Below are 22,291 nucleotides of genomic sequence, written 5' to 3' on the forward strand. Positions count from 1 at the left end.
TGTCTCAAAAAACAAAACAAAACAAAACAAAACAAAAAAACAGTTTCCAGTAATAGCCGCTCCTCCCCAGCTGCCCCACCAAACCCATCCAAGAGCCTTCCAGGTGCCTAGGGAGCTCAGCACTCCATACGTTTTCAGGAGAGGACCCAGGTGGCTGGTAGACTCTGGGGTGAGGAATCATCTGGTCCTAGAGCATCAATAAGGAAATCTCAATGCCTGCAGCCACCCTCCTCAGGCATGAAACCTCCTCCACCGCCCTCAGTGTGCATACCCAGCAAGCTCAAGGCACACTGACTCGCAGGATGGGACTTGGAGATGGGACAGCAAAATGGGAGGGAGCCTGAGAGTGGGGTGCATGGACTCCCTGAAGTCCAACGCATCACCTGGAGTCCTTAAACATACAGATTCTAGAGACCCGCCACAGGCCTGGGCCTCAGAATCTCTAGAAGCAAGTCCCAGAAATCCACATCGTTGTGGCTTCCTGGCATAGTCTGCAGCCCACAGGTGAAGCAAGTGCTGTGTGACCTTCGGGGAGCCTCTCTCATTTTGAGTCTTCATGGGAAACAGTTTGAAAGGAAGCCCTGAACGTTTGCAGAGGACAACAGCGTGGAGAGAACCAGTGTCTAGGCTGTGGGATTAGGCATGATTTTCTTTTCTGTTTTCTAAACCTTTTCTTTTCTTTTTCTTTTTGTTTCTTTGAGACCGAGTCTCCCTCTGTCACTCAGGCTGGAGTGCAGTGGCACAGTCTCAGCTCACTGCAACCTCCTCCTCCTGGGGTCAAGTGATTCTCTTGCCTCAGCCTCCTGAGTAGCTGGGATTACAGGGGCCAGCCACCACACCTGCTAATTTTTATTTTTGTTTTTGTTTTTGTTTTGAGATGGAGTCTTGCTCTGTCTCCCGGGCTGGAGTGCAGCGGCACGATCTCGGCTCACTGCAACCTCTGCCTCCTGGGTTCAAGTGATTCTCCTGCCTCAGCCTCCTGAGTAGCTGGGATTACAGGCGCCCATCATGCCCAGCTAATTTTTGTGTTTTTAGTAGAGATGGGGTTTTGTCATGTTGGCCAGGGTAGTCTAGAACTTCTGGCCTCAAGTGATTTGCTGGCCTTGGCATCCCAAAGTGTTGGGATTACAGGCATGAGCCACCACGCCCGGCCTGTTTTCTAAACCTTTTCCAGTGTTAGTATGATTCTTCCTCATTCTTGTGGGAAGAGCACTGGCCTGGGAGTCAAGAGACCTGGGTTCTAGCTTCAGCTCTGCCACAAATGCACTGTGTGAGTTTGGTGTCTTATTCCATTTTGCATAGTTACCATCCACCGTGTCTCATAAAATGTGATGCTGGTTGGAGGCCATGTCTCTCTCATTCCTGGACACTTATCTTGTGTTTCTTCACTCCGGTCTCACCAGGACCAGCCTCATAATGCTCCCTGTATTGATGGGATAGAGAGGGCTGGGAGGAGCAGCCATGGGGAAGTGAGGGGATCCCAGGGGGCCTCATCTCCTCACTCCTCTTCTCCCACCTTTCCAGCCCCAGGGCCCGGGAGGAGGGTGAGGTGGCAGCTGGAGGAGAAGGTGTCACTGCCAGGGCCCTTATTCTCACCCAAGCTGGCAGAGGGGCGGGACTGGCAGCAGTGACACCAGGGCCACTCAGCCCCCGCTTTTCACAAGCACTTTCTTTTTTGGGTGGAAGAAATTGGAGAGAGGGGGTGAGAAATCGGGGATTGAGGAACCAGGCTGTAAGACCCTATAACAGCCTGTCAGGTTCTAGAGAGACCACCCCCAGCCTTCCTCTTCCTCCAGAGGCATGGCCCCAGGGCCACCTGATTCTGAGATTCATAATTCCACCTGCCCCAGAAAGCTGGGTGGGAGCTCATGTCATCCTGTTCAGAGGCAAGGGGATGAATCACTTGACCTGAGGATTAATGTGGAAAAGAGGAGGGGGAGAGAGAGGGAGGAGCAAGACTCCATTTGATCTTCAACAGCCAAGCACTGAGCAAAAATGTCCCCCAAAGGGGTGTCAGCATTCAACAGTCTCACATCTCCTAGGGAATCAGTCATTCAGGAGGGTCTTACTGAAAGCTCTCATGTTTCCCCAAAAGTAGTGAAGGATCCCAAGGTCACCCTCTCTTCCAAGCAATGCTGCCCCACTTTGAACATCAGGCAGAAACTTCCCTGTTCCTTAAGGTACGGAGAAATGGTGGGTAAGGTGTTGGGGAGGAGGCCAGTCCTGTGTTTCTGGTACTGTCATGTATCCGGTCTCCAACCTCAAAAGATGTGCTGATTCTCTCTCCCCCAAGCCTCCCTGGGTCATGCCCACCTCCTGGAGTCCCCAGCTTTGCCTTTGCCTGCCAACTTGCCTCTTGGTTCAGCTCTATTTGGGAGCAGAGAGTCCCCATAGGCCCCTAAGGGTGAAGCCCTGTCAGGCTGGGACAGAAATGTAGAGCTGGGGCCAGTTCCCAGGGGAGAACTGGGGAGGACTGGGGTGAAGGTAGAGAGAGGAGAAGTTAAACTTTAACATGACAAAAATATTAAAGTATTTTTCAAAGTACTCTTAAAAATGTAAATCTTTATCTATATACTGATATGCAAAATATTCCATGACACCTTGTGGAGTGAAAAAAAAGTACACATTATAAAGCAGCATGTGTAGTGTTTATATAAATTATATATTTGTGCATGTGTGCAAAAGACAGAGACAGAGAGTATATAAGGAGTGAGGTCTCAGAGGGTGTTCACTGAAATGTTAATCCTGTTTGGCTTTAGGGGGTGGAATTTGGGGTGATTTATACAGTCTTGTTTTTACTTTTCTGTGCTGCTTAAATTTCCTATATAAGTATGTTTCATCTTTATACACAGGAAAACTCCCAATGATGCTATTTTCAATTGGGGGGGGGGAAACGGATAGTTTTCATCATAAAAGGAGTCTAATACATTAGTTAACATAAAAGGAAAATGGAGAAAGAAAAGCCTCCATCGTCCTATCTCCGAGGCAGCCCTTCAGAGCATGTGGTGGGTTTCCTTCCTGTCAGCCGGCTCTGAATCTGTTCAAAGCAGCTTTTCCATCCAGGTATAATAATAGATTGGAAAGTGCTGCACACGTACACCCTCTCATGTAAGGCTTGCAGCCCCCCTGAAAAGTAGATCTGTTTATTTCCCCCAGTCTATGGATGAGGCACGTGAGGTTGACTTTCAGGCAAGGAAAATGACTTGCCTGGGTCACATATACCTGGCAGGCAGAGCCAGACCTGGGACTCTCAGCACTGGCAGCCCAATGCTACTTCCAGTGCCCATGACTGCCATGCAGGGTAGGGGAGCTTTTGTGGGCCCTGCCAGGCCCAGCTCAGGGCCCTGCAAACCCCTGGCTGCTGCTGATGCAGTGCGCTTTAAGGAACATTTCCTGTTGTCCATCAGGTTCCAGGTCTGCCCCCAGGGCTAGAGCTACAAGATGCAGCCAACTCAGCACATGTGGACCTCTGGTGGGGAGAAAGAGGGCAACCCGAAAGGTCACTTAGCACAGAGTCTGGGCACACAGTAGGTATCAATAAAGATCGATTGAATGTTCATGGTCAAAGTTGCTTCTAGTGTGCCCGTGCTCCGAGCCTCTGAGTGCCAGGAGAATGCCCAGCGAGTCCCACTTGGGCCATCTCGGAAGGCTTCCTGTAGGAGAGGGCCTTTGAGCTGAGACTTCAAAGCTGGGCTGAATTTCCCCGAGGGTCCAGAAGAGAGCCACGGGCTGGTGTGTCAGGCAGCGGAGCTGACACTCCCAGAAAGCAAGATCTTCGAACTACAGGGTGCGCGCAGGCTCTCGCTTCTCTCCACCATGGGGGGCCCTGCAGTACTCGCCAAGAGCGTAGAATTTGCCTAGTATTAGCCACGAGAGGGCGGGGTGGGGCGAGGCGGAGCAGGGCCGAGGTGGCGGAGTGGGGGGGAGCCGGAGAGCTTCATAAAGCCACAGCAAAGCGCTGCGACTCTAGTGACAGCGGCCCGCTGGAGAGGAAGCCCGAGAGCTGCCGCGCGCCTGCCGGACGAGGGCGTAGAAGCCAGGCGTCAGAGCCCGGGCTCCGGTGGGGTCCCCCACCCGGCCCTCGGGTCCCCCGCCCCCTGCTCCCTGCCCATCCCAGCCCACGCGACCCTCTCGCGCGCGGAGGGGCGGGTCCTCGACGGCTACGGGAAGGTGCCAGCCCGCCCCGGATGGGCATCGTGGAGCCGGGTTGCGGAGACATGCTGACGGGCACCGAGCCGATGCCGGGGAGCGACGAGGGCCGGGCGCCTGGCGCCGACCCGCAGCACCGCTACTTCTACCCGGAGCCGGGCGCGCAGGACGCGGACGAGCGTCGCGGGGGCGGCAGCCTGGGGTCTCCCTACCCGGGGGGCGCCTTGGTGCCCGCCCCGCCGAGCCGCTTCCTTGGAGCCTACGCCTACCCGCCGCGACCCCAGGCGGCCGGCTTCCCCGGCGCGGGCGAGTCCTTCCCGCCGCCCGCGGACGCCGAGGGCTACCAGCCGGGCGAGGGCTACGCCGCCCCGGACCCGCGCGCCGGGCTCTACCCGGGGCCGCGTGAGGACTACGCGCTACCCGCGGGACTGGAGGTGTCGGGGAAACTGAGGGTCGCGCTCAACAACCACCTGTTGTGGTCCAAGTTTAATCAGCACCAGACAGAGATGATCATCACCAAGCAGGGACGGTGAGTGCGGCGCGCCGGCCCTTGGGGCCTCTGTGCCCGCGCCGGAACAAGAACGTCTCGTCTGTTTTTCTGGCTCGACAATGCTTCTGACTCCGTGTCCCTCACTGCTTTGGCTTCAGCGTAGGGAGACAGGGGAATGGGGTTGTTAGGAGGACAGGGAAAGCTCCGGAGGGGCGTCTGTGCCCAGGCTGTTGCACCAACAGCCAGAGGACTCACAAGGGAGACGGGTGAGTGCGGGACAGTGAGAAGTCACCTTGATTTAGGGGAAGGGTGACTGTGGCTTCACCTAGAATTGGTGTGCGCCCCTGCCCCACTCTCTACTGTAGAGGAGTCGCAGCGGGCAGTGAAAGCCTGTGCTCTGGGCGGACAGGACGCCTGGGCCTCCTGTGTGGGAAACTGGAGGGGAAGGGAGCCCCTTATCTCCGGGCCCCCTGCGCCCACCTCCCCCGGCTCCTTTGCTGCTGGTGTGCTCAGGTCAGCTTTAGTGGTGGTAGTGGTGGTGGTAGCGGTGGTGGTGGTGTGTGTGTACGGGGGGAGATTGGGATTTGGTGACATGGAGAAGCAGTCGCCAAGTTTCCTTTCCGGTCTTACTTTGAGATCATATGTCTGGTGTGTGTGTGTGTGTGTGTGTGTGTGTGTGTGTGTGTGTGTGTGTGTGTGTGTGTATGTGTGTGTGGGTGTGTGTGTATGGGGGCTAGTGCAGTAAAGCTTGTAGGGGGCACAGATCCCTTCCAGGCACAAATGCCCACGGGCTGGGCAGATGAAGCTCACCCAGGGGTCCAGCCTGGTAGCCAGCCCCACACTGCACCCTTTGAGGCTGGTCCAGTGAAAACCTTCCCCACACTCCTGTCCAGAAATTCACCGGTTCAGCCTGGAGAAGTGGGGAAGGGGTGTCCCATGGCTTCATGGCTCAGGGTTCCTGAGCCCCGTGCGTGATGGGGAGAGTTTGGGGCTGAGGGTGCTGCTTCCGGATAGAGCCTCCTGCGCAAGGAAAGAAACAGAAACCTGTGACTTGTGTGGTATTTGTTTAGTAAGCAACCCCCGGAGTGGACTGTGTCTGATGTGGGCTGTGCGCACCCACCCTTCCCAGTGCGGCCCATGTGAGCAGGGGACCAGCGAGGACCAGTGTGGAAGGGCTGTTGTCATTGGTGGACCTGGGATGCTGGGTCCCAGGTCCGAGAGGTGTGGATACCAAACGTGGGGCTTGGGGTGGAGGGGAGAGGGAGAAGGCCATGTTGGACCCCAGAGGTTGGTATTCGATCTGGGCATTGCTGGAACATTCTTCCCTCCAGATGATTTTTGTGGGGTAGCCTGGGACTGGGGAACCTGTTGCCAGCCACAACTGGCTTCAAGTTACTGAGCTGTTCCACTTTCCCTGGGATGAACCCAGGAAAGTTGGCGTGTTCTTTGATGGCTCAGCCTTCATCTCTTAAGCCTTCTGATAATTTCTCTCTGCTCCCCCCAACCCTAGTCACCCTTTGGGTGTACCCAGACACAGCCCAAGCTTCTGGTCCCAATGTGTCTGAATTGGAAGGGACCCAGAAGATCCTGTCCCTCTCACTGCACAGACAGGGAAACAGGCCCAGAGATAGCAAGAGACTCTTCCAAGGTCACACAACACACTCATTGCAGGCAGAGCTGGCACTACAGCCCAGATAGTATTTGCTTGGGTTTCTTTCTCTGGCCCCCTACGGCCACCAGTAAAAACAGCCACCCACGCTCTCTGAAGGCCCTGATGCATTCAGAGTGCTTTCACTTCCATTATTTCACTGTGCGTTAGGTAGGCCAAGCAGTCTCCCCATTTTACAGTTGAGGTCACTGAGTTGCAGGGTCAGCTAGGGGCTTGCACTCCATCACACAGCAGACCAGAAGTGGGGCCTCTTAACCTTCCACTCTGTTGTGTGGTCAGGAGGACTTCCCACCCTGGGCCCTTGCTGGGGTCTCCCCACAGCCTCTGCCAGGCCTCTGCCTCCTCCTGCCAGTCTTGAGGGATGGGGTGGATGGAGCATCAGCCAGCACTCTAGGGAGTTGGCCAGTGCTAGGGGGCTGCCTCTCTGCCTGTAGAGCCAGCTTCAGGGAGGCTGTAGAGCACTTCAGGGAGGCACTTGAGGGGATGATTCTCGAAGTGTGTATCACCATCTCTACTCCCATGGCCTCCTTTCCTTGGTGTTCCTGCTGAGTAATTCTCACTTGACAAGTTTTTTTGTCCCCCTTTTAGATACATACACTTACATTTTTTTATTATGAAAAATTCCACTACATACAAACATGGACAGAAGAATGTAACAGACTTCCATCCCCAGCTTCCACAGTTGTCAATATGGGTCCAATCTTGTTTCTGCATCCTCACTTCGCTTCTTCTGTCTGCAACTATATTAGTAATATAGTAATTACTAAGTACATTCTAGATATTATTTTATCTCTGCACCTCTAAAAATGACTTTTTAAAATGAATGCATTACCATTAGCAAACCTGAAAAGAATTTCCTAAATATCACCAAGCTTCTCTGATTGCTTCATAAATGTGTGTGTGTGTGTGTTTTCCAATCCTCACACTTTTTGCTCCATTCTGAGGGGCTCCATACGCGGGGTCCCTGTTGAAGGAGGCAGTGGCTCTTCACTGTTTCTTTTGGTGCTTTTTCTTGGATCAGGCTTCATAGACCCCACGCTGCCATGGAGGGGACAGAGGACACACAACCCCAATTCAGTCCCACTAGCCCCAGGTTACCTCCATACCTTCTCAGCTTGGGCTCCTGAGATCTGGGAAATCAGTGGCCATTTCCTCTCAAAACAGGCTTTTGGGCTTATAGCACAGCTTCCTTTCCGTCTTCCTGCTTTTGTGGGCTGGCCTATCCCTCCGTGGGTTCCAGTGACCCACCAGTCACACCACATCACCCATGACCTTCTTCCTTTTTGAAAGGTTCTCCCACCTCAGGCCCACCTACAGCCTACAGCCCCACGGCTTTTTGCCTTGAGCTGACTCACGCCGTCCCGGATTCTTCCTCTCCCACCCACCCTGGATCTATCCCTCGGTATTGACCAGCGCCAGTGGCATGCTCTTCCCAACGGGCAGAAATGGGGCAGGGCACAGGGGGTGATTCCTGGGTCTGGAGATTGATCAAGGCAGCTCAGATGGGGCTGAGAGAGGGGAACTGAGAACAAAACGGTGGATTATCCCAGTAGGAGACTTTGGTGTCTACGTTTGTGTCTGGAGATTTGGGGCAGCCTGATAATGCCCCACACAGGCTTGTGCGAGGGTTTCTGTGTGGCAGTGTGTGTGTGTTGCGAATGTGTTGGCGAGTATATAATAGTTGATGGTAGACATTCTCAGTAGAGGAAGAGAGAGGCCTGTGTCTCTGTGGGTGTGTGGGTGTGTATTAATTGCTGGCAATCCCCACTTTCTGGGTGTGATTGGTTGATTATTATAATTAAGATAACTTTGGGTAGCTGTGTTGTGTTAAGCTCAATCTGCATTTGGATTTGTGCATGTGAAGACAGAGGTTGGTAAAACAACAATTTCAGTCCCACACTATCCTTGCTATCCTCACAGTCATTACAATTTTTTTTTGTCTCCACTTTCCCAACTCCAAGAACTTTAATTTTTTTATTTGTAATATTTTTCATGGGCCAGGAAGTGGACTTGAACCTCCCACATAGATAACTTTAGTCGATAACTTTCTACATCTTTTTTTTTTTTTGAGATGGAGTCTCACTCTGTCCCCCAGGCTGGAGTGCAGTGGCTCAATCTTGGCTCACTGCAACCTGCACCTCCCAGGTTCAAGTGATTCTCCTGCCTCAGCCTCCCAAGTAGCTGGGATTACAGGCAGAAGCCACCAAGCCCAGCTAATTTATGTATTTTTAGTAGAGACGGGGTTTCGCCATGTTGGCCAGGCTGGTCCCAAACACCTGACTTCAAGTGATCCCCCGCCTCGGCCTCTCAAAGTGCTGGGATTACAGGTGTGAGCCACCGCACCTGGCCCAACTTTTCAGATCTTAAAAAATTTTTTTTAATTTATTTTTTATGGAGACAGAATATTACTGTGTTGCCCAGGCGGTCTCAAATCCCTGATCTCAAGCAATCTCCCGCCTCAGCCTCCCAAAGTGCTGGGATTACAGGCATGAGCCATTGTGCCCAGCTAAAAACATTTTTTTTAGGCTTAAGCATGCTTAACTGGTTTCATTTGTCTTGGGGCAAGTGAAAACAACTTTAATTAAAAATTTTTTTTAAATGAGACATGGTCTTGCTCTGTCACCCACGCTGGAGTGCAGTGGTGCGATTATGGCTCACTGCAGCCTCAACCTGCTGGGCTCAAGCAATCCTCCCATCCCAGCCTCCTGAGAAACTGGGACTATAGGCGCACATCACCATGTCCGGCTAATTGTTTCTATTTTTTGTAGAGATGGGGTCTCACTATGTTGCCCAGGCTGCAGCTTTGCTTTTTGTCTGGCTGTTTGCCAGTGGCTGTCTGAGTCTATTAAGTGGATCTGAGGTTGGTAAGACGAGGAGTTCCCTTGATGCCCAAGCACATTTTGTACTTTGGTAGGTACGACACATTGCCAGAATACCCTCCCAAAAGGTGCTACCAATTTACGCCCACACCAATAGTCTATGAGAGGACCCATTTTCTCACAGCCTCATCAGCAGTAGATATTATCACATTTTTTTTTTTTTTGAGACAAAGTCTCGTTCTGTTGCCCAGGCTGAAGTGCAGTGGCATGATCTCTGCTCACCGCAACCTCCGCCTCCCAGGTTCAAGCGATTCTCCCACCTCAGCCTCCCAAGTAGCTGGGATTACCGGCATGCACCACCACGCCTGGCTAATTTTTGTATTTTTAATAGAGATGGGGTTTCACCATGTTACCCAGGCTGGTCTCAAACTCCTGACCTCAGGTGATCCACCTGCCTCGGCCTCCCAAAGTGCTGGGATTACAGGCGTGAGCCACCACGCCGGGCCAATATTATCAATTTTTAAACATTGACCAATATGACTGAGAAGAACTATCTATCTCCTTGCTATTTTAATTTGCACTTAATTACAGTGAAGCAGAGCCTGTGCCAGGAGCTCCGAATCTGGGAGAGGTATGACGACCCTGTGAACCATCCCAAGGCTACTTAGTTCTTAGGGCCAGCAGAGGAATTTGGGGTCTTGGACCCTGTCTTATGAGGGTGGGATGGTAAGTGGCCTTTAGGGACGCTCAATTTGACACCAGACCCATCACCACTCTCGGTTCCTTCCCAGCAAAGTGTCATGTAAATCAGGGGCTATTTTGGGATTCCAGCTGGTGGTGATTCTAGACTTTTAGGGAGAAACCGAGATCTCCTTTCTCTTCTCCCTTTTCCCCAGCCTCTTCCTGTGTCTCCATTTCCCTCTACTAGTGATAAAAACAGGATGAGCTGGGCATGGTGGTGAGCACCTATAACCCCGCTCGGGTGACTCGGGAGGCCAAGGCAGGAGGATTGCCTGTGCCCAGGCATTTGAGCAGAGCCTGTGCAGCATAGCAGACTCCATCTCTTAAAAAAAAATCAGTATGGCCTGGCGCGGTGGCTCACCCCTGTAATCCCAGCACTTTGGGAGGTCGAGGCCAGTGGATCACCTGAGGTCAGGAGTTCGAGACCAGCTTGATTAACATGGTGAAACCCCGTCTCTACTAAAAGTACAAAAATTAGCCAGGTGTGGTGGCGGGCGCCTGTAGTCCCAGCTACTCGGGAGGCTGAGGCAGGAGAATAATGGCGTGAACCTTGGAGGCGGAGCTTGCAGTGAGCCAAGATCACACCACTGCACTACAGCCTGGGCAACAGAGCGAGACTCCGTCTCAAAAAAAAAAAAAAAATTAGCCAGGCGCAGTGTTGGGTGCCTGTAGTCAAGGAGAATCTCTTGAACCTGGGAGGCAGAGGTTGCAGTGAGCCGAGATCACACCACTGCACTCCAGCCTGGGGGACAGAGCGAGACTCTGTCTAAAAAAAAAGAAAGAAAAAAATGAATATGAAGAAATGGGGACCACAGAGCACAGCATGCACTCTGCAGTCAGAAGACCTCACCTCTGCTCTCCCACCGAGGACCGTCACCAAACCTCTCGGAGCGTCAGTTTCTTCAAATATAAAATTGGAAATAACATTTTATTTTTTATTTTTTCTTTGAGATGGAGTCTCACACTGTTGCCCAGGCTGGAGTGCAGTGGCGCCATCTCGGGTCACCGCAACCTTCGCCTCCCAGGTTCAAGCGATTCTCCTTGCCTCAGCCTCCAAAGTAGCTGGGACTACAGGTGCATGCCACCACACCAGGCTAATTTTCTGTATTTTTAGTAAATATGGGGTTTCACTATGTTGGCCAGGCTGGTCTCGAACTCCTGAGCTCAGGAAATCCACCCTCCTCGGCCTCACAAAGTGCTGGGATTACGAGTGTGAGCCACTGTGCTGGGCCATCTTTCGAACTTTTTAACAGCTTTCAGAGGAAAGATGGACAGGAGTTAGACTCTCCATTTACATGTGAAGAAACTGAGATTTGGGCTGGGTGCAGTGGCCCATGTCTATAATCCCAGCACTTTGGAAACCTGAGGCGGGTAGACCACTTGAGGTCAGGAGTTCGAGACCAGCTTGGCCAACGTGAAACTCCATCTCTACTAAAAATACAAAAATTAGCCGGGTATGGTGGCACATGCCTGTAGTCCCAGCTCTTGGGAGGCTGAGGCAGGAGAATCACTTGAACCTGGAAGGTGGAGGTTAGAGTGAGCTGAGATCACGCCACTGCACTCCAGCCTGCATGACAGAGCGAAACTCCATTTCAAAAAGAAACTGAGATTTGGCTTGAGAATTAACTTATCCAGGGTCATAGGGTAGTAATCTATTTTTCTCAACTCAGGAAAGTCAGGGGAAGACAGGCGTGTGACAGCACCCTTCTAGGACACCTTCCCAAGGTTGTTAGGTAAGTTGTCCTGGGGACCTCTGGGGATTAGAAGTCCCTCAAAAACAGTTCCTAGGCCCCTGGAACCCTCCCTCCTCCAGGTTTCCTGACTCAGATAGGTCCCTTTTTCCTCATCCTTCAGGGCTTCTCATGAGAGGAGGGGGAAGTGTGTGGAAATGAAAAATAATTCTGATGAGGATTAGCTTCTGCCATTCTGAAAACTCTGCTCTTCCTGCTTGTGTTAGAAGAGAAAGGCTAAGCCATTGGAGCTGGTGATGGAATTGGTGCTGGTGGAGGTGGTGGTTGTAGTGACGGTACTACTGGTGGTGGTTGTGATGGTGAAGGTGGTGGCTGTAGATGGTGGTGCCCGTGCTGGTGCTGGTGGAGATCGTGGTTATCGTGATGGTGGAGGGGGCAGTTGTAGTGACGGTGGTTGTGATGGTGGTGATGGGTGGTTACAGTGCTACTGGTGGTGATGGTGCTGGTTGTAGTGGTGGTGGTGACGGGGCTAGTGAAGGTGTTAGTGGTGGAGATGGTGATGGTAGAAGAGTGCTTCTTTTCTGAATCTGTTACTCTGGCACAACAGCGGAATCATACAGCATCCCACCCCCTAACTTCCTCTACTTTTCCTGGAAACAAGGACTTTGAACATGAGCCCCGTGTTCAATAGAGCCTTCTTTCAGGTGGATGGGAAGCTCCCTGTTCAACTAGGATGTGTGCAACTTCTCTAAAGGCTGAGGGCAGACTATACCGCAGGTGGCAGACCCAGGAGCATGGGAGAGGGAGGGCCTGTGAGTGGGTGTCATGGGTCTGGGAGTGTGTTAGCACTGTGAGAGCCACGGCAGAGAGGGTGGCTGAGGAACTGAGGCGTGAGGACCTTCCAGGAACTGCCTGTGGAGAGCTGGTGGTGCCCCCTCCTAGGAAGCAGCTAAGGTTAGAGACAGGGGTGTGCAGGTAGATGTCGAGCAACTGACCCTCTGAAAGAACATTTTAAAAAACTCTGATTTGTAGTGTTTGCTGATCCCTGTGGTGTAAATACTCCTGCTATGGATGATTTCAAGCGACTCATGTGAGTCATTGAACACAGAGCCGGGAAGAGACTCACAGTGCACTGTGATTTAGTACCTCCTCCATGCAGCTGCGATAGACGGAAGTAACCTCGACAGTGCAGACAATAGTAAAACGTAAAATAACTGGGCAGTGATGATTTTTTAGTTTTTACTCCTTTTTTTTTTTTTTGAGATGGAGACTTGCTCTTGTCATCCAGGCTGGAGGGCAGTGGCGCGATCTCAGCTCACTGTAACCTCTGCCTCCTGGGTTCAAGCCATTCTCCTGCCTCAGCCTCCTGAGTAGCTAGGATTACAGGCGCCCACGACCACACCCAGCTATTTTTGTTGTTGTTGTTGTACTTTTTAGTAGAGACGGGGTTTCGCCATGTTGGCCAGGCTGGTCTCGAACTCCTGACCTCAGGTGATCCGCCCGCCTTGGCCTCTCAAAGTGCTGGGATTACAGGCATGAGCCACTGTGCCGGGCCTACTTTGACTGTTAATATGTCTTGAATTGCAAGTTTATATAATTTAATTTTTAATTATGGCTGTGTTTAACCACTGGCTGGCAAACTCCCTAAACACCTTCCAGCTGGTTCTTGTGAGTGGGAGGAAGCCGGCTACAGCACACCACTGATGCCTGGGCACTGTTGCAGGGGGGACTGGCTGTCAAGCTGGAGCTGATGGGTGCTGGGGGCTTTCTCTCTTCTCTCCAGGCGGATGTTCCCATTCCTGTCATTTACTGTGGCCGGGCTGGAGCCCACCAGCCACTACAGGATGTTTGTGGACGTGGTCTTGGTGGACCAGCACCACTGGCGGTACCAGAGCGGCAAGTGGGTGCAGTGTGGAAAGGCCGAGGGCAGCATGCCAGGTGCGCGCGCCCCTGGGAGCGGTGGGCTCTGTTTCGCTGGGACTGGGCGCCCCCTGGTGGGCCCACCAAGCCCCTACCCCTAATTCCTAGACCTTTAACCCCCTCCCACTCCATCCCACGCCATTGCATCCCTCCTGTTTCTGGCTTCCTGCTTTGCTCTAGCCTGTCCTCTGCTGAGTCCTCTGCCCTTCCCTGCCTGGTCCTCCCCCTGTGTCCTTCCTTACGTCCCTCTCGGGACAGGCAAAGCCCTACATCACCAGGGTTCTGTCCCGGGGGCTGCATGTCAAAGAGGTGAACTGTCCACAGGAAACCGCCTGTACGTCCACCCGGACTCCCCCAACACAGGAGCGCACTGGATGCGCCAGGAAGTTTCATTTGGGAAACTAAAGCTCACAAACAACAAGGGGGCGTCCAACAATGTGACCCAGGTAGGACCTGCTCTTCAAAAGGTAGCCTCGCCCTGCTCCCCACCCTGGGTCTGAGACCTCCAAGGCCACAAGGGTCCTGCGGGGCCAGTTTGGTTCATTTTTTCTTCCTTCCTACAGGAAGGAAGGTTCGTTTTTCTTCTGTCCTAAACGAAGGGTCATTTTTCCTCCTTCCTAAACTCTGGCTGTTTCTCACCCACCTTGGGAGGAAGATGAGATGGGATGAAGCTGAATCTTGGACGGGGGTCATATTCAGGCCACACAGGCCAACCCAGCCTCAGGGTTTCTTCACCAAATCATGGGTTGCCATTGCTCCGGCACCATGAAAGGCACAGAGTTGGCCCTGTGGTCCCAGGGAATAGATGCCGAGTTTCTCTAGGTTGAACAATCCTGTTAAAAGTGCCCTTGCTGGCTGGGTGTGGTGGCTCACACCCATAATCCCAGCACTTTGGGAGGCCAAGGCGGGTGGATCACAAGGTCAGGAGTTCAAGACCAGCCTGGCCAAGATGATGAAACCCCGTCTCTACTAAAAATACAAAAATTAGCCAAGCATGGTGGCGGGTGCCTGTAATCCCAGCTACTCAAGAGGCGGAGGCAGGAGAATCGCTTGAACCCGGGAGGCAGAGGTTACAGTGAGCTGAGATCATGCCATTGCACTCCAGCCTGGGTGACAGAGTGAGACTCCGTCTCAAAAAAAAAAAAAAAAGAAAAAAGAAAAAAGAAAAAAAAGTGCCCTTGCCCTAAAGCCCTGTTTGTGCTGATACCTTGGTCTCAATTGACATCTGGAGGTAGAAGAGGGGGCAAGAGGCTAGAATTGGTGCCCCAAAGAGTCCGGACACTGGAGTTGGAAAGCTTGGGGGAAGTTACATGGTGGCAGAGCAGGGGAATGGACAGGATGACCTCAAGGTGCTTGCTAGCCTCACGTGGGGCCAGCTGTTGGTGGGGGTGATGGGATCCTCGAAATCCTTCCTCCCCACCCCTACAACCGTCTTGCTCTGTCTACAGATGATTGTGCTCCAGTCCCTCCATAAGTACCAGCCCCGGCTGCATATCGTTGAGGTGAACGACGGAGAGCCAGAGGCAGCCTGCAACGCTTCCAACACGCATATCTTTACTTTCCAAGAAACCCAGTTCATTGCCGTGACTGCCTACCAGAATGCCGAGGTGAGGGCTGCCTGAGCCCCGGTGGGGAGGAGGGCAGAGTGGGGCCCACTGTCTTCCTTGGGAGGGATTTGGAAAGTTCCCGAGCCCCAGACTCAGGACTCAGGTGACTCTATTTCCCTTCTCTCTAGATTACTCAGCTGAAAATTGATAATAACCCCTTTGCCAAAGGATTCCGGGAGAACTTTGAGTCGTAAGTGCCACTGGGTTCAACTCAGCTTTGGTCCCTCCTGAGACACATCCTCTCCCTGCCCCTGAAAACAGGAGGGTGGGGGACAGATGCTACAGGTGGGCAGGCCAGGGAAGGAGGGTCGGAGAAGGAATGTGTGAAACAGGTAGGCTCACAGGTGACTGGTTCTGCTTGTGACCCGTTTTCTTGCCTTCTATTTTTTTCTAGCATGTACACATCTGTTGACACCAGCATCCCCTCCCCGCCTGGACCCAACTGTCAATTCCTTGGGGGAGATCACTACTCTCCTCTCCTACCCAACCAGTATCCTGTTCCCAGCCGCTTCTACCCCGACCTTCCTGGCCAGGCGAAGGATGTGGTTCCCCAGGCTTACTGGCTGGGGGCCCCCCGGGACCACAGCTATGAGGCTGAGTTTCGAGCAGTCAGCATGAAGCCTGCATTCTTGCCCTCTGCCCCTGGGCCCACCATGTCCTACTACCGAGGCCAGGAGGTCCTGGCACCTGGAGCTGGCTGGCCTGTGGCACCCCAGTACCCTCCCAAGATGGGCCCGGCCAGCTGGTTCCGCCCTATGCGGACTCTGCCCATGGAACCCGGCCCTGGAGGCTCAGAGGGACGGGGACCAGAGGACCAGGGTCCCCCCTTGGTGTGGACTGAGATTGCCCCCATCCGGCCGGAATCCAGTGATTCAGGACTGGGCGAAGGAGACTCTAAGAGGAGGCGCGTGTCCCCCTATCCTTCCAGTGGTGACAGCTCCTCCCCTGCTGGGGCCCCTTCTCCTTTTGATAAGGAAGCTGAAGGACAGTTTTATAACTATTTTCCCAACTGAGCAGATGACATGATGAAAGGAACAGAAACAGTGTTATTAGGTTGGAGGACACCGACTAATTTGGGAAACGGATGAAGGACTGAGAAGGCCCCCGCTCCCTCTGGCCCTTCTCTGTTTAGTAGTTGGTTGGGGAAGTGGGGCTCAAGAAGGATTTTGGGGTTCACCAGATGCTTCCTGGCCCACGATGAAACCTGAGAGGGGTGTCCCCTTGCCCCATCCTCTGCCCTAACTACAGTCGTTTACCTGGTGCTGCGTCTTGCTTTTGGTTTCCAGCTGGAGAAAAGAAGACAAGAAAGTCTTGGGCATGAAGGAGCTTTTTGCATCTAGTGGGTGGGAGGGGTCAGGTGTGGGACATGGGAGCAGGAGACTCCACTTTCTTCCTTTGTACAGTAACTTTCAACCTTTTCGTTGGCATGTGTGTTAATCCCTGATCCAAAAAGAACAAATACACGTATGTTATAACCATCAGCCCGCCAGGGTCAGGGAAAGGACTCACCTGACTTTGGACAGCTGGCCTGGGCTCCCCCTGCTCAAACACAGTGGGGATCAGAGAAAAGGGGCTGGAAAGGGGGGAATGGCCCACATCTCAAGAAGCAAGATATTGTTTGTGGTGGTTGTGTGTGGGTGTGTGTTTTTTCTTTTTCTTTCTTTTTATTTTTTTTGAATGGGGGAGGCTATTTATTGTACTGAGAGTGGTGTCTGGATATATTCCTTTTGTCTTCATCACTTTCTGAAAATAAACATAAAACTGTTGAATGTGCCTGCCTCAGTGCCAGCATGGGGGGACATGGATGGGGACTCAGTTGGGGTTGTACCCAAGCTGGTGTACCCAAGGTGTTCTGTCAGCTTTCATTTATGGGGAACCTGCTAAGACCCTGAAATGACTCCAGCTGAGTTACAGCAAGGCCACATGTCCTACCTTCAGCACTCAGGGGGTTGGTTGATGCTACCTCTTAAGGCATCTTGGGACGGACAGAGAAGAATCCCTTGCCCTGTGTGCACCCTGACATTGAAAGGAGGGGTGTGAGGGCAAGGCCAAGGGCTGGACTGGGAGCGGGGGTGCAGGGCGCTGTGAGGCGGTGGCACTTGATTTTTCTTTGCATTTCTAGCAGCCCTCCACCTTTATCTCTAGGGTTATTCAAGGATTAAAGAAATAAATATAAAATGAGCCATGTGAAATTACCATTTTTGTAGGTCGAAAAGCCAAATATTAGCAATTTTATGTGACTCAAGCTAATACATGTAAAGGGTTTAAGAACATTGCCTGACAAACAGTAAGCACTCACTGTGTAAGCTACTGTTACCAACAGTTTCTAGCTGTTTCTGTCTGTCTTTTTATACACACTGAATTGTGTTTGTAAAATAATACATACTTTTTTTTTTTTTTTTTGAGACAGAGTTTTGCTCTTGTTGCCCAGGCTGGAATGCAATGGTGCGATCTCAGCTCACTGAAACCTTCGCCTCCCAGGTTCAAGTGATTCTCCTGCCTCACCCTCCTGAGTAGCTGGGATTACAGATGTGCACCACCATGCCTGGCTAATTTTTGTATTTTTAGTAGAGACGGTGTTTCGCCATATTGGCCAGGCTGGTCTCGAACTCCTGACGTCAGGTGATCTACCCACCTTGGCTTCCCAAAGTGCTGGGATTACAGGCGTGCGTCACCACACTCAGCCTATACATGCTTCTTTTAAATAATTCAAGCAAGGAAGAAAAGTATAAAGACAACAATAAATTATCTCAAATCTTACCCATCAAGAATTATCATTAACATTAGGTGGGTTAGACAGAAATAGTTTTATAAATTGGAACCATACTGAAAAGGCTTTTTCTTAATGAAAATGGTTAAATTTTAGCTTATAGAATTTAGTCACACACACACACACACACACACACACACACATCAAGACAAGCAAAACCTCTCAAACTCTCAAGTGAAATGAAGGGAGTTGCTAAACTTAAGATAAATTTTTCTTCACTACAAGAAATATTTTCTTGGTTTTTTTTTTTTTTGAGACAGAGTCTCGCTCTGTTGCCCAGGCTGGAGTGCAGTGGCACGATCTCAGCTCACTGCAACCTCCACCTCCTGGGTTCAAGCAGTTCTCCTGCCTCAGCCTCCCGAGTAGCTGAGACTACAGGCGTGTGCCACCACGCCCGGCTTTTTTTGTGTTTTTGGTAGAGACGGGGTTTTCACCATATTAGCCAGGATGGTCTCGATCTCTTGACCTCGTGATCTGTCTGCCTCGGCCTCCCAAAGTGCTAGGATTATAGGCGTGAGCCACCGTGCCCAGGCAAGAAATAGTTTCTAAAAGAACACTCTCAGGCTAAGACAGGTGCTTATAGGAAACATTAAGAAGTTAGAGTTACTATGTTGCCCCACCACAGTCCAGGGTGCACCCCATTCTAATGGGGAAACATCATCATGGGCTTTGGGTAGTTCTCCCAGTTCTGTTTAAGGTCTGGAAAACCTGTTTTTTTTTTTTTTTTTTTTTTGGTCACAGTTCACATCCCATCCTTTTTTGCTCTCTACTCAGAGGCACCTTCTAGTTAGAAGGAAAAAATACGGTGGCATACTTGGCTCCCTTTCCTTTGAATTTGGAATCTCATAATTTTGTAAATGACAGGAGATCTGCCACATTGTGCTCTGTGAGTTCAGATTATTTGTCCCCCTACTCCTACCCCGTGGCTGTCACTTTCTAAAGTTAATGGGTTGGGTCTATTTCCTTTCTTGGAGGAACTGTGGTTGATAATTATAATACTCTTTTCGCTCACCATTTAAAAATGATTTTTGCTCCCTTCATTAGATATGAAGTTAAGTGACTTGTGATCAAGCCATACTTTACCATCTTTTCTAGAAGTCTGACTGCATGTTTTGATGTGGTGTTATTTGACTCATAAAGGTTCATTACTATTATTTCTTCACTATTAGATGTACCTTTTACTGTATATACTGTGTATATATACACATACCACATATATCTATAATATATATAACCTAAATACCACACAACTCAAGATATTTCTTCAAGATTTAAACACCAATAATATCACAACTATATTTCCTCCATCTAATCTCCTGCCTTTCCCTCATAGATAACCAGTATCTTTAATTTTGTGTTTTGCTTTTCTTGCCTTTTATTTGTTATATTTTTTATTTTTATTTTTGTAGAGATAGGGTCTTGCTATGTTGCCCAGGCTGGTCTTGAACTCTTGGGCTCAAGAGATCCTCCCACCTTGGCCTTCCAAAGTGCTGAGATTACAGTCATGAGCCATTGCATCCAGCCCCTTTCTTGCTTCTTAAAATTAAGTGTTAACACTTTATGTAAGTCTAACTACTATGCTATGTAGTTTTACTTGTTTTTAACTTTATAAAATAATATATATGTGTGTGTGTGTATGTATACATACACACATATATGTTTTGATTTTTGACTCAACACTGTTTTTAAGATTCATCCATTTGTGGCAGGTAGCTATGTATTTCATTCATTTTTCACTATTTTATGATATTCCACTATGTGTATGTTTGCTATAATTTACTTATCTATTTTCCTGTTGACAATTTACACATTTTTGTTATTATGAACAGTTTTTAAAATATTTTTAATGTGTCTTCAGGCACACAAGTGCTAAAATTTCTCAAGTCAAGTCTGTATCTAGAAATGGGTAGGGTATGTGAATGTACAATTTAACAAGAGAATGCCAAATTACTTTACCAATTTACACTCTCACCAGTAATGTACAAGAGAACATGTTGAGTTTCTTTCTTTCTTTCAGCAGTAGTAAGGTTGAGCCTTTCTTCATATGTTTTCTAATCATAGGTTTGTAAAATGATTTGTTCATATCTTTCGCTCATATTGCTATTAGAGTATTTGTCTTTTTCTCATTGGTTCTGGTTCTTTATATATTCTTGACTTGATATCAACCATTATTTGGTTATTTATATTGCAATTATCTTCCTCTAGATTATTGTTCCTCTTTTCATTTTCTTTAAAGTGGTTTTCTGATGAACAAAAATTTGTAGTTTTAATGTAGCTAAATTTAACAATTTTACTTTTTTTTTTTTTTTTTAAGAGACAGGGTCTTGTTCTGTCACCCAGGCTAGAATGCAGTGGTGTCATTATAGCTCACTGCAGCTGCAAACTCCTGGCCTCAAGTGATCCTTCCACTCAGCCTCCCCAGTAGTTAGGACTACAGGCATATGCCACCATGCATGGCTAATTTAAATTTTTTCTGTAGCGATGAGGTCTCGCTATGTCACCCAAGCTCATCTTGAACTCCTGACCTCAAGTGACCCTCTCGCCTTGACCTCCCAAAGTGTTGGGGTGGCATGAGCCACCACACCTGGCCAACATTTTATAGTTAGTACTTTTCCTTGTCTCATTTAAGAAAACTTTTTCTGCTTGAGGGTTAGAAAGATATTCATCTGTATTTTTTTTTCCATAGGATTTGAAGTTTTGCATTTGACATTTAATTCCTTTTAGTGTTTGGTGTGAAGGATTCATTTTTGTTTTCGTTTTCCAATTTTTCCTGTTTGTTTTTGTTGAATAGTCTTTCTTTTGCCCATGGTAGTAGTCTCACATACTACTTCTGGTAGAGCAACGTCCTCTTTTTAAAGTTTCTTCTTCTGAAGTGCTTTGACTATGCCTAGCTCTTTGCCCTTCTATATGATATATATAATAACTTGGAAATTTTCATAACAACCAGACTGAGATTTTTATTGAGGTTGGACTAAATCTATTGTTCGATTTGAGAGAAGAGATAACTTTGTGATATTGTCTTTCTATGCATGAACATGGGATATTTCTTCATTTATTTAGGTCATCTTTAAGGTTCTTTAGCAAAGTTTTCCAATTTGTAGGTGTAGGACTTTTATATCTTTTGTTAAATTTATTCTTGGGTATTTCTTTTTTTCTCTGTAAAAGGCATATTTTAAAATATATGTTTCCTAGCTGTTTGTTACTAGTTTGCAGAATTACAATTGATTTTTGTATATTGATCATGAGATCCAGCCATGTTGCTAAAGTCTTTTATTATTTTGGGGGAATTTCCTATAACTTCTTTAGAGCTATCTCTGTGGCCAATCATATTATTTGAAAAAATGAGAGTTTTAGCCGGGCATGACGGCGGGCGCCTGTAGTCCCAGCTACTCAGGAGGCTGAGGCAGGAGAATGGCATGAACCCGGGAGGCGGAGCTTGCAGTGAGCCAAGATCGCACCGCTGCACTACAGCCTGGGTGACAGAGCGAGACTCTGTCTCAAAAAAAAAAAAAAAGAGAGTAAAAAAAATGAGAGTTTTATTTCCTTGTTTCTAATCATTATGCTTCTAATTTATTTTCCTTATCTTATTCGACTGGTCATAACCTCAAGTGCTGGTTTTTTGTCTTTTGGGGGATGGTTTCTTTCACTATTTTTTGACCCCACCTCTGATGGGGTCTCACTCCGTCACTCAGGTTGGAGTACAATGGTGTGATCATAGCTCACTGCAGCATTGAACTTCTGGGTTCAAGTGATGCTTCTGCCTCAGCCTCCCAAATAGCTAGGACTACAGATGTGCACATTATGAAGCCTAGCTAATTAAAATTTTTTTTTTTTTTTTTTTTTTTGTAGAAACAGGGCCTAGTTATATTGTCCAGGCTGCTCTTGAACTCTTGGCTTCAAGTGATCCTCCTGCATTGGCCTCCCAAAGCACTGGGATTAGAAGAGTGAGCTGCCATGCTCAGCTCAGTTTTCCCCTATTTATTACACTTTTTTTTCCTTTTACTTGTTTGCATTTCTATAATTTATTTATTTTAGTGGCTTATCTATACATTTTAATAAGTATATTTAATAATGAATGATGTTTTATCCTCCCTTCTCGTCAGTAAGATAATTTTAGATCACTTTAATTCTGATCTTCCTCCTTCTGACTTACTGTTCCTCCTTCTGACTTACTAATAAAAACTTACTTCCTTCTTCTGACTTATTGATAACTCTTATATTATCATTTTAGTAGCCATTCTAATAACCTTTTTTCATTCATGTTTTTCTCCTCTCAACTTACTCATTTCAGTTCTTTCTTTTTTTAACCCCTAAAAATTAGACTCCTTTATTATTTTATTGAGACTATGCTTTGTCTGGACTTACCTTTATGTTACCATTCTTTTTGTTCATTTTCCCTTTTTTGCATTTCTCTTTTTTGGGGGATCATTTACCT

General features: G+C 49.1%; 1 protein-coding gene across 1 annotated transcript, besides 8 other annotated features; it reads left to right on the top strand.

The window, feature by feature from the left end:
* Positions 1,977-3,976: a promoter, noted in NCBI's record as "2 kb promoter fragment". NCBI's record gives the evidence for it as "EXISTENCE:reporter gene assay evidence [ECO:0000049][PMID:16713975]".
* Positions 1,977-4,327: a biological region, named in NCBI's record as "TBX21 promoter region". NCBI's record gives its function as "regulatory_interactions: TBX21".
* Positions 2,182-2,208: a protein binding site, noted in NCBI's record as "-1993 site". NCBI's record gives the evidence for it as "EXISTENCE:protein binding evidence [ECO:0000024][PMID:21272048]".
* Positions 2,661-2,687: a protein binding site, noted in NCBI's record as "-1514 site". NCBI's record gives the evidence for it as "EXISTENCE:protein binding evidence [ECO:0000024][PMID:22258560]".
* Positions 3,788-4,327: a silencer, noted in NCBI's record as "silent region_8639". NCBI's record gives its function as "represses an Ori minimal core promoter by ATAC-STARR-seq in GM12878 lymphoblastoid cells {active_cell/tissue: GM12878}" and the evidence as "EXISTENCE:reporter gene assay evidence [ECO:0000049][PMID:35858748]".
* Positions 3,876-3,932: a protein binding site, noted in NCBI's record as "SP1 site cluster; -101 to -44". NCBI's record gives the evidence for it as "EXISTENCE:protein binding evidence [ECO:0000024][PMID:17705132]".
* Positions 3,969-16,855, top strand: TBX21 (T-box transcription factor 21). Its single transcript, NM_013351.2, has 6 exons — positions 3,969-4,678; positions 13,343-13,497; positions 13,804-13,925; positions 14,928-15,086; positions 15,215-15,276; positions 15,481-16,855. Exons 1-6 carry the CDS (start codon positions 4,188-4,190, stop codon positions 16,097-16,099), a joined length of 1,608 nt encoding a protein of 535 aa, NP_037483.1. The 5' UTR covers positions 3,969-4,187; the 3' UTR covers positions 16,100-16,855.
* Positions 4,358-4,527: a silencer, noted in NCBI's record as "silent region_8640". NCBI's record gives its function as "represses an Ori minimal core promoter by ATAC-STARR-seq in GM12878 lymphoblastoid cells {active_cell/tissue: GM12878}" and the evidence as "EXISTENCE:reporter gene assay evidence [ECO:0000049][PMID:35858748]".
* Positions 4,708-4,757: an enhancer, noted in NCBI's record as "active region_12316". NCBI's record gives its function as "activates an Ori minimal core promoter by ATAC-STARR-seq in GM12878 lymphoblastoid cells {active_cell/tissue: GM12878}" and the evidence as "EXISTENCE:reporter gene assay evidence [ECO:0000049][PMID:35858748]".

This window comes from Homo sapiens, chromosome 17, assembly GCF_000001405.40.
Source record: "Homo sapiens chromosome 17, GRCh38.p14 Primary Assembly".
NCBI classification, from domain to species: Eukaryota; Metazoa; Chordata; class Mammalia; order Primates; family Hominidae; genus Homo; species Homo sapiens.

Excerpts from the sequence above, each read along its gene's own strand:
- TBX21 (NM_013351.2), top strand. The coding sequence starts at position 4,188 with ATGGGCATCGTGGAGCCGGGTTGCGGAGACATGCTGACGGGCACCGAG. Across the intron at positions 4,679-13,342 it reads ATCATCACCAAGCAGGGACG|GCGGATGTTCCCATTCCTGT; the intron begins GTGAGTGCGGCG and ends TCTTCTCTCCAG. Across the intron at positions 13,926-14,927 it reads CGTCCAACAATGTGACCCAG|ATGATTGTGCTCCAGTCCCT; the intron begins GTAGGACCTGCT and ends CTCTGTCTACAG.